Below are 15,442 nucleotides of genomic sequence, written 5' to 3'. Positions count from 1 at the left end.
TCTCTCCTTTTTTGTGAAGAAAAGTTACTTTTTATTGCTCTAATCACTATGGGTTAAGGCTACTGTAGACTACCTTAGCAAAATGGGATAGGACCTTCATTAAGTCACTAATGTAACAGATGTTTCTCGAGAACTTTCTATGTGCCAGGCACTGGGAATATAGCTCAGAACAAGACAGTCACAGTCTGTGCCTTTAGGGACCAATAGGTGGTGTTAGATTATCAAATTACACAAATATGTGATTCCAAATTGTGATAAGTCTAAAGAAAAAGTAAAAGGTCACATTAGTTTTTAGTAAAATATGTGTTACATTAGGTGAGAGGGTGGTTAGGGGAATTCTCTCTAAAGACTAGACATTTGGCCGGGCGCGGTGGCTCACGCCTGTAATCCCAGCACTTTGGGAGGCCGAGGTGGGCGGATCACGAGGTCAGGAGATCGAGACCATCCCGGCTAAAACGGTGAAACCCCGTCTCTACTAAAAATACAAAAAATTAGCCGGGCGTAATGGCGGGCGCCTGTAGTCCCAGCTACTTGGGAGGCTGAGGCAGGAGAATGGCGTGAACCCGGGAGGCGGAGCTTGCAGTGAGCCGAGATCCCGCCACTGCACTCCAGCCTGGGCGACAGAGCGAGACTCCGTCTCAAAAAAAAAAAAAAAAAAAAAAAAAAACTAGACATTTAGGCAGACAGCGAAAGAATAAGTAGGATTTATCCAGATTAAGAATGAGGACAAAGGAGCAGTTTCCTCAAAAAGTGGAGCCTCAGTCTTTGCTGAAGACTTTTACTTTAGGTCAACAGAGATAGCTTGAGTAACTACCAAATGTCTAGTAGTTTACCTAATGCTGTTGGGAAATAAAACAGGTTGAGTTGGATGTGACGAGGTGTTGGATATGTCTTAGGTGGCAAGACCAACTAATACTGCAAGGAAGTTTCTATTGTAATTTTACTATAATTAAGTGCTAAGGCAATTTTTGAGGAAGAAAAAAATAAGCAACTCTTAAGGATCATTTCATTTCTGATAGGGAATTACAGGAAGATTGCATGTAATCTTTACTCACCCAACAAAGATTGTAAAATGAAATCATGAAGGACAAGGTCTCCAAGATTCCTGCATAAAAATTTGAGGGTTCCAGGACACAGACTCAGTTACTGGGTTTTCCTTTTTCTTCTTCCTTGCAATATGTCACTGGGTGTGAAGAAGGAAAGAAGGTGGGTTCTGGGTCGGTGCTCCTCCCAGATTAGTGAATAATAGCGAAGACTTAGCTTCTTGTGCACAGTTGCCACTCCTCCCCCAATACACAGTGGGGAAAATTCTGTGTGTGGTTCACCCTGAGGCAGGAAGCCTGGAAGACAGAATCTTCTTGCCTCTCTTCCTCACATCTCTCATTCTCTTAAGCATCTTGACTCTAAGAGGTCCTCTGAGTATTGATTTTAACAGCAGTGGAAGGTGGGACAATGTGAAATTCAGATGAATGAAGTGAGAAAGGTAAAGGGTGAAAAAGCTTTGGTCCTGAGGGCAACAGAAAATGAAAGCATTTGTTGATAAATGATTTACGTTGGCAGCTTAGAGAGTGTTTTGAACAGTGGCCATGTCATCAGAACAAGTGTGATTTCCTAAGAGCACTACTTTAAAAGGTAATATTAATTTGGATGAATACGTTCTGATATATTAAAATGTCAACATTCTTATTTCATAGCTATGTTTAGTTTTTTAAAATGTTGGATAAAAGAAAAAATGAATTTCATTCTATTACCATAAGGCCAAGACACGACTTGGGATGAGATGGAAAAGTATGTGTGAAACTCTGAAACTTTTTGCCACAATAGTGCCCTGAAGGGTGGGTTTAAAGGTTAAAAAATTCAGCGTATATTTGAGTTGACTCATACATTTTTAAGGACGGGTGTCCATTTCCTCCCTCTGTGTTACTATATCAAGTCAAGCTGATGAAGTGAGAGCCAAAGAAAACAAGCCCATCCCCCAACACCCCACCAAGATTGCAGAAATGCTGGTTAGTTGATTTCTAATGTCAGCTGTTCTTTCAGTGAGAGATTTGCAGGGAAGAAAATCAGATGTTGTTTTGAAGAAGTGCTTTTGTTTTTTTTGAAAGCAAAAACTGAGAATTTATTGTTTCATGTATTGGAAGAGTTGGGGAGTGGCCTGACCTCTGGCAGAGCTGAATTTAGTGACATAGATACAGCCAGATTCTTTTCTTTTCTCTTTGCTTCTGGAGTCTGCTTTTCTCCATCAGGCTCCTCTCTCCCTTCAAGGTGCAAGATGGCCACCTGCCGTTCCAGGTGAAGAAGTATTTTAGAATATTATGACCCTGGAGGCTTTTCTTCAAGCTTTAGTAAAACCGTAGTCATGCACCTCATAAGGATGTTTTGGTCATGGACTGCATACATAAAGGTGGTCCCATAGGATTATAATAGAGTATTTTTACTGTACCTTTTGTATGTATAGATCATTAAATGTACAAATTCTTACATTATGTTACAGTTGCCTACAGTATTCAGTACATTAACGTTGCTGTACAGGTTTGTAGCCTAGAAGAAATACACTACACCATGAAGGTCTGTAAGTGCTCTCTCTGATGTTCGTGCAACATGAAATAGCCTAACAACTGTCAACCTTATTAAAATAATGATTCAGAAACTGTGATTAGGTATAGAGTTTATTCAGGCCCAAAAGGTGGAAAATGGCCACCTGGAAGCATAAATTCAAGTTGCCTTGAATATATACGATTAGCAGATGTTACAAGTGATTTTGTTTGTTCATTTCTTTTGAGACAGGGTCTCTCTCTGTCACCCAGGCTGGAATGCAGTGGCGGGATCATGGCTCACTGCAGCCTCAACCTCCCAGACTCAAGTGATCCTCCCGCCCCTGCCTCCCAAGTAGTTGGGACCACAGGTGTGCACCACCATGCCCAGCCAATTTTTGTATTTTTGTAGAGACAGGGTTTTGCTTTGTTGCCCAGGCTGGGCTTGAACTCCTGGGCTCAAGTGATCAGCCCACCTTGGCCTCCCAAAGTGTTGGGATTACAGGTGTGAGCCATTGCACCTGGCCCCAGGTGGGTTTTTAAGGAAAAAAGAAGAGGCAGTTCCTAAGTTGTTTAACAAGAGTTTACATTAACATAAATTATTAATTGACTGTACATTGTTCTTTGTATTCCAAATTCCAGGAATATGACAATAATAAGGGAGGCAGCTAGTCAGGAACAAAAATGCCTTTAAGCAATTGCCACTGGGCACGGAGGGTGGCGGTGACCAAAGTCCTATGCTTACGTCTCTCTGGGCCTGATAAATTTTGCAAACCTCACATAGTTCAGACTACTTCAAGTTATTTTTCTTTTCTCACAACGCATTTCTCAGAACGTATCTCTTTTGCTTGACTGTACGTGGATTATTAGGGAAATAAAAACTTTGATAAGTTTAATATGTTTTACAGGACTACTTAATAGCTTGTTTATGCCTTTAAGTGTTAACCTATTCTGATAAGGCATTTATAATTGGTTGAACTTGTTATTTGTGGTCATTTTCATAAAATATGTGGACGTTTCCGTATCCCTTTATTTTTTTTAATTTAAAAACAAAATCAGAGGGAAGTTTTTATTATATAAGCATTTATTAAAATAAGTTGGGCAGAATGATGGACTCAGAAAATGAGTGTGTTTGTAGGGCAGCCTCCAAGGCCCACAGGAAGCTTGCAGTTGATGTTTTTTAACTTTTAGGTTCGGAGGTAATTGTGCAGGTTTGTTATATAGGTAAATTGCATGTCACAGGAGTTTGGTGTACAGATTATTTTGCCACCCAGGTAATAAGCACGGTACCTGGCAGGTAGTTTTTTGATCCTCACCCTCTGTCCCTCCCTCCCCCCTCAGGTAGTCTCAAGTGTCTGTTGTTCCTTTCTTTGTGTCTGTGTGTACTCAGTGTTTTGCTCCCACTTATAAGTGAGAATGTGTGGTATTTGGTTTCTTTCCCTGGATTAGTTTGCTTAGGATAATGGCCTCCAGCTCTATCCATGTTGCTGTAAAGGCCATGATCTCATTCTTTTTTATGGCTGCATAGTATTTCATGGTGTATATGTACCACATTTTCTTTATTCAGTCTACCATTGATGGGCATTTAGGTTGGTTCCATGTCTTTGCTATTGTGAATAGTGCTATGATGAACATACGGGTGCATGTGTCTTTATGGTGAACTGTTTATATTCCTTTGGGTATGTACCCAATAATGGGATTGCTGGGTTGAATGGTAATTCTGCTTTGAGTTCTTTGAGGAATCACCACACTGCTTCCACAGTAACTCATCTAATTTGCATTCCCACCAGCGGTGTATAAATGTTCCTTTTTCTCTGCAACCTTGCCAGCATCTCTTATTTTTTGACTTTTTAATAACAGCCATTCTGAGTGGTGTGATATTGTATCTCATTGTGGTTTTGATTTGCATTTCACTAATGATTAGTGATGTTCAGCATTTTTTCATGTTTGTTGACTGTGTGTATGTCTTTTTTTGAAAAGTGTCTGTTCATGTCCTTTGCCTACTCTTTAATGCAGTTGTTTGGTTTTTGCTTGTTGATTTAAGTTCCCTATAGATTCTGAGTAGTAGACCTTTGTGGGATGCATAGTTTGCAAACATTTTCTCCCATTAGGTAGGTTGTCTGTTTATTTTTTGTTGATAGTTTCTTTTGCTGTGCAGAAGCTGTTTAGTTTAATTAGGTCTCATTTGTCAATTTTTGTTTTTGTTGCAGTTGCTTTTGATATCTTTGTCTTGAAATCTTTTCCAGGTCCTATGTCTAGAAACAGTATTTCCTAGGTTATCTTCCAGGTTTTTATAGCTTTAGGTTTTACATTTAAGTCTTTAATCCACCTTGAGTTGAATTTTGAGTATGGTATAAGGAGGGTTCCAGTTTCAGTTTTTTGCATATGGCTAGCCAGTTATTCCAGCACCATTTATTGAATAGGGAGTCCTTTCCTTATTGCTTGTTTTTTTTTTTTTTTTTTTTTTGACTTTGCCAAAGATCAGATGGGTATAGGTGTGCAGCATTGTTTCTGTACTTTATTCTGTCCCATTGGTCTGTGTGCCTGTTTTGTTCCAGTACCATGCTATTTTGGTTACTGTAGCCCTATAGAAAAGTTTGAGTTTGAAGTTGGGTAACATGATGCCTCCAGCTTTGTTCTTTTTGCTTAGGAGTGCCTTGACTATTTGAGCTCCTTTTTTGGTTCCATATAAATTTTAAAATAGTTTTTTTCTAATTCTGTGAAGAATGTCATTGGTAGTTTGATAGGAATAGCCCTGAATCTATAAATTGCTTTGGGCAATATGGCCATTTTAACAAAATTGATTATTCCTATCCATGAGCATGGAATGTTTGTGTCATCTCTGATTTCTTTGAGTAGTATTTTGTAATTCTTGTTATAGAGATCTTTCACCTCTCTGGTTAGCTGTATTCCTGTATTTTATTCTTTTTGTGGCTATTGTGAATGGGATTGTGTTCTTGATTGGGCTCTTGGCTTGATTGTTGTTGGTATATAGGAATGTTAGTTATTTTTGCGCATTGATTTTGTGTCTTGGGACTTGGCTGAAGTTGTTTATCAGCTTAAGGAGATTTGGGCTGAGACTATGGGGTTTTCTAGATACAGCGTCATGTCTGCACACAGGGATAGGTTGACTTCCTCTCTTCATATTTGAATGCCTTTTATTTCTTGCCTGATTGCTCTGGCCAGGACTTAAGTACTATGTTGAATAGGAGTGATGAGATAGGGCATCCTTGCCTGGTTCCGGTTTTCAAGAAGAGTGCTTCTACCTTTTGCCCATTCAGTATGATGTTGGCTGTGGGTTTGTTATAGCTTATCCCTTTATTATATTCGTGTTTCTGTTGGAAACAGATGCATCATTTCAACTTTTAGCATCTTTTTAAAAAACGTAACTGATAATAATGATCAGATCTTAATATTTTAGAAATTTTGAATCAATAAATTGCGAATGCAGTGATTTAAAAATATAAACCCCGGAACCAAACTGTCTGGGCTCACATCTCAGCTCTGCCATTTGCTAGCTGTGTGACTTCAGATTACTTAACCTTTCTCTGCTTAAATTTCTTATTCTTATATAAAATGGGGATGATAAGAGTACCTTTCTCTTAGCCCAAAAGAACCTGGCACATAGAAAGTACCATTACTGCTGCTGCTACTACTATTACTGCTGCTGCTGCTGTTACTGTATCTATGCCATATTTCTCCAAAATCTTTATTCTCCAACATACCCCAAACACCACTGTCTCAGCTGCATTATTGAGTCCAGAATATGTTGAAAGAGAATAATAGATGTATTTTCATTCTTGATTATAGCCAAAAGGCCAAGAAGTGATATGTAGACATATTTCTAAATGAAAGAATGAAGATACAAATTAAAACCAAACTAGGAGGTAAAGTGATTTGACAGCATTCCTGTTTAAGAGTCTGCTCTGCACTGCCCCTTCTGACCCACCTTTATTTTGCAGAAGATACTGGTTTTTCTTTTTAACTTAATCCTTAGCATCAAGGACATGTGACTTGTGCTTCATTTTCATTGTCTAGGATTTTCCTTGGAGATGCTGCTGATCTATGCCAAAAGTCTGGGATGTATGCACCACTTCTGTGTGAGTTTATTCTGATTGAACTAGGCTTAATTAGATTCTCTTTTCTTTTGTTTTCTCTTTAAAAACTTGGAAACCATTTTGTTGTTCCTGAGTTGTAAGGCTGAACATGTTTGCTTAAGTAAATCTCTTGGGATCTAATCTGGCATCCACTCAGGTCTTGTTAAATGAGAGCTTTAAAAGCCTCTTGCTGAGTGGGCTCCATCATTGTTGACCAAATGTTTCAAGATGTAGGCACAAAGCGCTTTTGTCAGTTTTTCAAGTGTAGTTTAATTTTGAAGTAATTGTGCTTTTCTACTTTTAAAGTATTTAAAAAGTACTTTTAAAGAGTACTGTTAAAGATTAAAAAACACAGGAGTGGCAAGTTTAACAAGATCACATTCTTCTTGTTTCTTTATAAATTTCTGTTACCCATCTGGTTTACTTGGAAGCAATGCTGAACTTAACTTATGTGACTGTTTTATCTAGAAGAGGCAGCAAGATTTTTCTCTTCATGTAAAGCAACTAGGTAACATTTGTCTTCTTCCAATGGATATGTAAAAAGGGGGTGTAGTCCCTTCAGATTACTCTTGGCTCTTCACCCCCCTCCTCATGCTGCAAAGCAGATTTTTTGTTATTAAACAGATTTTTAATTTATTTTAGCAGATTTTTAATTTATTCAGTCCTCTGCTCTTTATATTACACACCCACCATTGATGCATACTGGCATACAGATAAATCAAAGTCTAATTCAGAGAAATTGGCTGCAAGAATTCTTAAAGACTATATTGTGGTTTACACAGAAACCAATTTCCTGTAGTCAAAATTGAGATAATAGAAGAGTAGAATTATCTTAATTCATAATAGTATAAGTATGAGGCCGTTGGAATTAGCAGGAGATCTGTCTGGGGCAGCCTTGACAATCAGAGCAGAGCCATGTCCCAGAGTCAGCCAGGCCAATGACCATCCCCAGTTATGGAGGTGTTGAAAACCTGCACGGTGAAAGTCCTGCAAATGCTGTGCATTGTGCTGAATCATTGCACATGCTTCCAGTCCCCTTAGCCCCTTTTCATGGGAACCATACCTTCTTAGAACTTGAGATTACTAAATATGAAAAATATCTGTCTAAGTTTCCTTTTTACTTTGGAGATAGGAACCCTGAGAGATAACCCAAATCACTGTTTTTATTTTATAGATTTGGAAACTGAAGCTGGAGATGTTACATAGTTTACACAAAATCACCCATGACTTCTTGGCTGAGCTGCAACTTAACCCGGGTCTCTGGCTTCCCAAATTAGTGTTCCTTTCACTGATCCATGCTGTCTTTGCTTATCCATTCAATTAGCAAATGTAATTGAAGGACTCTAATTAGTTTGGCTTCTAAAGGCTTTTGTAGTTGATGTCAGACTGGCAACAAGGTTGGTTTGTTTTTCCTCCCAGCTTTTGAGTTGTGGCCAGATTTTGTCAGTCAATTATTTCAGGGTCTTGAAGTCATCACATGGATGGTGAGATTGTTTGAATGTCTGTTTATCTGTCTGATAAACATGCCTTTGTAGTACAAATTAGAGACTGTTAGGATGTACCAAATACACACACACACACACACACACACATGCACAGAGAGAGAGAGAAAGAGAGAGAGTGTGTGTTATTAGGTATAGAGCAGTTGTGGCCAGTACAGTGGTGACATTCCAGCTATCACTACTGTTGTGTATTTCTTCCGGGCCTGTGAGCTTTGATACTACTTTCCTATACAATTGAGGGGTTAGCAGTATTCTGGCAATGCAACCATCTCAAGAAGCAGATGCTAGGGATGCAGGGGGCTGATTGGCCACCCCATGCACTTGGCAAGTGCCCGAATTGGCACTGCCAGTTTATGGGATTAAGAAACTTGGAGCTGTGAAACATCCTTAGACCTGTGAGCTAATTGTTGGTGCCCTTCAGGGCCCCTCTAAAGGAGTTATGTAGATGGAATTTAATTTCTTTCAGTGGGAGAGAACTCAATTCCTAAGAGAGAGTTGAAATTAACTCTTAGACCTCAGGTCTTACTGATGTCCCTTAAAGGTCTGGAAGGATGGAGCTGCAATAGAAGGAAAGTATGCCATTGTTTTGCATTGTGTTTATTAGAGTAGGATGAACAAATGGGACTAAGTAACATATATTTGGTATAGTATAGGAGTAGAGAAGTATGACTACTACAACTTTTTTTTTCTTATTTCACTGAGCTCTATTTTTCTTGAGTAAACTTGAACTGTTTGCCAGGAAATAGTTGCCTCTTCTAGAGTCTCAATATTTATGAAGGTGTAGGAAAGGTTTTCATGCAACTTAAGCGCTTATTTCTTTGTAATTTGATGGAAAATTTTTTAATTTTTAGAATTATTTGTAGCAAGTCCTCATTATATATCAAAATATACAGGTTGAATGTATCTCATTGTAGATTATAAAATGCTGTATTGTCTTTAGAGTGAAACATTAAAAGAGAATATCTTTTTTTGTTGTTTTAGGGTCTGAGATATTTTATAATATCATTTCCTAGCTTGTTAATACACAATATGCCAGGATACTTGATTTACTGAAATTTTAAAGAGTGACTTATGAAACTGCTTTTTGTTAAAGCTACATTTATCCTGAATTTGATTTAGAAGCTGATAGTCTCTTGTGGAAAACTGAAATGTAATTACTTCTAGCTCTTAATATTTAGATTACACACTCTGTTTGGCTTCCTATTCTTTTACTTTCATCAAATGCACATAAATACAAAAAGAACATGTGTAAACTTCTGCCACATGAAAAGCAGAGGCATTCCTATTTGTAAGATGCTTACATGTCCCTTCACATTTTCTAGTAGAAATACGTTTCTACATGCATAATGTATGTAGAAATATGTTAGTTTTTACATATGTAACTCATTCTGGAGAGAAATCCTCAATAATCTGCCTGATCGTCTTTTGTCTTTTTTTAATGAAGAGAAAAAAGGCTTTGCAGAAGATGTTGTGACAGTTGGGATGCCGGATTTCTTTTCTTTTTCTTTTTTTTAAGAGACAGGTCTCGCTCTGTTGCCCAGGCAGGCTGGAGTATGGTGGCGCGATCATAGCTCACCGTAACCTCCAACGCCTGGACTTAAGTTATCCTCCCATCTTAGCCTCCCAAGGAGCTGGGACTACTGGTGCGCCCCACTACACCCAGCTAATTTTTCTATTTTTTGGTAGAGATGGAGTCTCACCGTGTTACCCAGACTGGTCTCCACCTCCTGGGTTCAGGCAATCCTTCTGCTCCGGCCTCCCAAAGTGCTGGGATTACAGGCGTGAGTCATTGTGCCCAGCTGATTCTTTCTATTAAAGGAGAGTTTGAGTCAAGGAAGGAGCTCCTGGTCTCTCCTGACCTCTTTGGTTGCCAGTTGGCTGGCCAGGTTTATCAAGGTGAATATGTGGAAAAGAGCCAGAGAGCTGGGGATGGGGGATGTGAGTAACAGTGCATCTACTCATGCATGCACCTAAGCAAACAGGATAGACAGCGCAATTTTCCTTTGCAGTATGTTCGTGGTCATTATTAAAGCAGAAATGAGGGTTGAGAGAGTGCCCTGATGCCTATTCATATATCTTTATTCTGTATGTAGTTTCCACGTAAGTTTCGGTAGCTCATACTGTTAGCCTTCCTGGTGGTACTTGCAGTCATTGTAGTAAGTGTTTATGTCCTTGTCCTGACCTTTTCTTTTCTGAAACAGACTTTTCTTTTCTGAAACAGATACTTTCTTCTTTTTTTTTTGCTTGAAAATACAGACTGGAGGATGGTGGGGACTGGGACTTGAGATTTTGTTAGGGGATTTTGCTGCCCACCAAATCACTGATGAATCCTACAGTTGAGTTACCAGCGTTGTTGTACTAGAATATTTTTCTTAGTCAAAGTGTATACCAAAGATTATGCTGTTTAGGAATCCAACTTGGAAGAACCCATGAGAAGTGTGTCTGTTCCCAGGACTGCTGGGTTTTGCCCTTTTACCCTCAACTCCCTTCACACTTTTAAAAATAAACGATAGATTTGATTTCACAGAAACTGCATCTGTATATGTATAATGATGTGCCTTTATTTTGGGCAGTAAGCTTTTTTTTTTTTTTTTTTGGTCATTTGCAAACAAGGATTAGTCTTTATGCACTGTCACTGTTATAGGCATGCATGAAAAGTGGATCCTGTTTGTGCTCTAGAAACTGCTTACATTTTAATTTAAATAATGTGCCTTTGCAATTTTTTTTAAAGGTAGTATCTTCCCCAGCAGATGTTGCTGAAAAAGCTGACAGAATTATTACAATGCTGCCCACCAGTATCAATGCAATAGAAGCTTATTCCGGAGCAAATGGGATTCTAAAGTATGTATTTCTCACCTGTGGATATTTTCTTGTTATGATAGTTCATGAATTTCACATGTTAGAACTATTAGGAAATTACAATTGTGTTTGTTAAACCTTTCTATACTGTTTTTATTTCATAAAGTGAATAGTGTGGTGGTTTTCTCATTGTAAAAGGCTTATTTTTTCACTGAAGTCAAGTATGTGACAATGTGTATAAAATTTTTTGGTTCCGTTTCTTTCCTTTAACTCTTGCGTTAAACTTACCCTTTCACTAGTAACATGTTTAAGAGACTTTTAAAGCTTACATTTGAAACTGCAACTGTTAATAATATAATTTTCTTACAGCTTATAGAAATTCAGGAAAAGGGTTTTATGAAAAATATAGCCAAACATTGGAAAGAACACCATCGTTTAACATTTTATTATACGAAAAAAAGTTATGTCCTGTGGGTTAGTACGTTTGTAGTAAGAACTTTGGGAAGTTGGAATTAAAGGTTAGCAGTAGCTCTTTAACCCATTTATGTCAGAGGTTGCAAATTTTTTTGTGAAAAATCAGACCTTGGCAATGACCTTGAGTAGTAGGATGTACTGCTTGAGCAGTAGGATGTAAATAACTCCCACAAACTTAGCATAAATGGAACACTAGGCATAAATGGGTTAAGTAAAATACAGTTTAGGTCAGTTTCCTAATCAGTGCCTGTCTTCCCTGGCTCTGAGAAACCTTTTGGTTAATTGCTGCTTATTGCCAAACCCTTGCGGTTATGTTAGGATGATAGTGATTGAATTCCCAGCTTAGTTTTGTCATGTCACTGTTTCTATTCCTAACTTATTTTGTTGTTGAATTTCAGCAAAGAGCTAGAGCAAACTGGTAGACACTGTAGTCACAAGAAGGGCTAAAAGAAAGGGTGTAATTTCAGGAAACTGTAATATGTGAAATTTGAAGTTTCTGGTAATTGAATTGTGTTGGAAAACTAACCAACTTGGAAGGAAGCAAAAGACACTTGGATATTAGGCAGAAAACTGATAAGATAAATGTTTAGATTTCAGGGAAGGTTAAAAGACACTCATTTTGGATGGAGCTCTCAGGGCCACAGTGTGTGTGGTCCAGAGGCATCCTAGCTGTCCTGTTACCTAGCCTGTTACAGTTATGGTCCTGCTTTACCTCTGAAAGAAAAGTTACTAAAAACTTCTGAGGAGACATAGCCCTACATTTGTTAATATCCTTTGCTAAGGAATATGGTGACTAGCTATCAGAACAGTTTGGTCCAGGGAGTGTTTTTAAAAAGTTTGACTTTACATTGAACTATAATTTGCTTCTTATGGGTGATTCTTTATTTTTTTCTGGGTGAGGATCATTTCCATACACCCAGTGCATGTATAATTTTTGGGATGATTTTCCATTTGTTGAAAGGTTTAAGATCTTAAAATATTAAGATCACAGATTGATAAACTTAATTCTTATTCTTTTAGGCTAAAGAGAAACCTACATACTCTTGGAGTATGCTATTTCTCTTCTGTGAAATATACCCAACAATTGCATTTGAATTGTAACAATTCATATGTCTAAAATTGTTGTTTAAACAATTTTTAATATGTATATTTTTCTTTTCTTTTTATTTTAGACGAGGTCTTGCTATGTTGCCTAGTCTGGTCTCCAACCTGTGGCCTCAAGTGATCCTTCTGCCTTGGCCTCCTAGAGTGCTGGGGTTACAGCCTTAAGCCACCATGCCTGGTTATGTTTAAACCATTTTGTGTGCTATTTTTTTAATAGAAAGATTTTTCCTTTTAATAGTTTTTATCAATGATTTTTCTGTTTTCTTCTTCAGTATTTATATTTATTCAGTTTTAATTTTCTTATCATGATTCCATGCCCTCTGGGTTAGTATATCTATAGTAAGAACTTTGGAAAGTTTGGCCAGGCACAGTAGCTCACACCTGTAATCCCACCACTTTGGGAGACTGAGGCAGGATGATTGGTTGAGCCCAGGAGTTCAAGATCAGCCTGGACAACATGGTGAGATCCCATCTCTGTAAATATAAAATTTAAAACTTAGACGGGTATGGTGGCATGCACCTGTGGTCGCAGCTACTTGGGAGGCTGAGGTGGGAGACTCTGTCTTAAAGAACTTTGGAAAGTTTGAATTAAAGGTTAGCCATACCCTTTAAATAAATTATAATTTAGGTTAGAGTTTCCTAGCTAGTGAAGATAGACACTGCCTTATAGTGTATATATATAAGTTACCCTAAAAAGCCAAAAAGACTGTGAGATTTCCAGATTCTTTCATATATTTTCCTTTCTACCTGCTTGATATTTTATTTTGTCATTAAAGTTACAATTATAAAATAATATGCCATCCCAACACAAATGGCTAGATTTTAATTGCTTATGTTTATTCTTCATTGTGGAAATAACACGGATATATGAAATTTGCAGTATGGCTTGTTAAAGACAAATAAATTACTTTTTAAAGATCCAGCTACTTTACAGACAAAAATTTAAGTCCTATCTAATACCCTTTTAAAGTTAATAGGTGTTTTAAATTGCTTACATCTTAGCTTCATGTTTATTATTATGGTTAGTGTGTAGTTCATCTGAAATCAGAATTTATACCATGTAGTATATTAGGTTTTATTAGGTTTTTTTTGGATCTTTTGAAAGAGTTTGGGTTTACTTTTGAAGTACAATTGGTCTCAAAAAGAATGAGATTTTTAAACGTGTTCTAATTAATAATGTTTTTAATACTAAACTAAAATCCTCCTTGATATATGGCAGCTTTTCAGCAGATTCTAATTCTGTAGGTAGTTGCATGAAATTTTTACTCAGAGTTGTAAACTACAAATATTTTTATTTATTTACTTAGAAAAGTGAAGAAGGGCTCATTATTAATAGATTCCAGCACTATTGATCCTGCAGTTTCAAAAGAATTGGCCAAAGAAGTTGAGAAAATGGGAGCAGTTTTCATGGATGCCCCTGTTTCTGGTGGTAAGTGGTAGCTAAAATATATGCAAACCTATTTATGTTTGTCAAAAGTAGCAATTATGGTTTTGTTGTACCATATGGTTTTGTAGTAGTTATTTTTAGACTTGTTACAGGATTCTCATTAAAAATAAAGCCAAACTGATACGTTATTTAGTACTCTCAAGTCTAAATAACTAACATTGTTAGTCTTAAATTCAGATAAAAAAGTGTCATAACTTTGAAGTGTTGTGAATTTTTGGTCCATTTACTGTGGATAGGAATACATCAGTTTTTAGAAAATTTTTTTTGGAACTATTGAAAAAAAAATCAGCTTAAATAATCCTGTAACTGTTAAAGAAATTGAACAAGTGGGAAAAAAAGAAAAACAATTGTTTCACAAGGGAAGCATTGGCTCAGATCATTTTACAGATGAATATTACCAAAATTTCAAGGAGCAGATCATCTAAATTTTATACGAACTTTTCCAGAGAACAGGAAAAGAGGAAATACTTCCCAATTCATTCTGTAAGACCTTTATAACTCTGATATTTACACCAGATAGAAATGTTATAAAAGAGAAAAAATAAATATAGGTTTATTTTAGTCATGAATGTAGATGTAAAAACTTTATATTAGCAAACTGAATCCAACCATGTATGAATGAGATTAAACACTATAACCAAGTTTCCTTTAGCCCATGTATGCTGAGATGGCTTAATTTTAGAAAATCTGTGCATATAATTTACCATGTTAACATGGTTAAAAGTCATATGATTGTCTCAATTAGAAGAAAAGACCCACTAATGAAATGCTAAAAATTTACTATTAACTCATACATTAATAGCAGGTATCTGGGTAGTTTGGAATGGCAGGATTATAGTATGGCTTCTCTGTAATTTCCAAGTTTTCCAAAATTACTGTGTAATCAGAATTACTGTGTACACATTTATATTATGTATTTGTAGCAGTATAGCAGTAGACAGCAGAATATGAATTTTATTCCAGTTACATTAAACTTGATTGTGGGCTTTAGAATTAAAAAGTAACATATAATAATTTAAATCATTTCGTATTTTTTTATAAAGAACTTAATGATCTTGTAGAGGTACCTTATATCCCAAATGATTTTTGAATATAGGTGGAGGAATAAATAATTGCTGGCTCTTCTGATTGTTATATTGAATTACTTAAATAGGATTTAGGTATAAAAATTTATGATGTGGTATAGGTACTTTGATTAAAAGTACCTACAAAATACTAATAAGCAGTTTTAAGGTTGGCGTTAATGTGGTTTTTATTGGATGGAATTAATAAACTGAACAGATCTTTCTTAGAGTGGTTCTGCAGTTGAATTTGAAAATTGGTATGGTACAAATGTTCTTGCCATTGATTGATTTTCTTTGGTCTCAAGAGTACAACCTGAAATTATAATCTGATAATAAAAAATACCAATTTGATTTTTAAACATTATTTTAACCTTTAAAATATAATCTTATGAGAAAACTTTGAAATTACTCTTTTGTTCTT

At 36.7% G+C, this 15,442-nt stretch overlaps 1 protein-coding gene across 4 annotated transcripts in view; it reads left to right on the top strand.

Moving 5' to 3' along the window:
* The window catches only part of HIBADH (3-hydroxyisobutyrate dehydrogenase), a 137,442-nt gene that overhangs the window by 19,574 nt on the left and 102,426 nt on the right, over positions 1-15,442 (top strand). For all 4 annotated transcript variants that reach the window (NM_001430749.1, NM_152740.4, XM_047419834.1 and 1 more), the window contains 2 exons: positions 10,865-10,974; positions 13,818-13,939. In NM_001430749.1, the coding sequence (NP_001417678.1) occupies positions 10,916-10,974; positions 13,818-13,939 (181 nt within the window). In that variant the 5' untranslated portion in view covers positions 10,865-10,915. The remainder of the gene's footprint in view (positions 1-10,864; positions 10,975-13,817; positions 13,940-15,442) is intronic.

This window comes from Homo sapiens, chromosome 7, assembly GCF_000001405.40.
Source record: "Homo sapiens chromosome 7, GRCh38.p14 Primary Assembly".
NCBI classification, from domain to species: Eukaryota; Metazoa; Chordata; class Mammalia; order Primates; family Hominidae; genus Homo; species Homo sapiens.
This window is presented reverse-complemented; position numbering and strand designations above follow the sequence as displayed.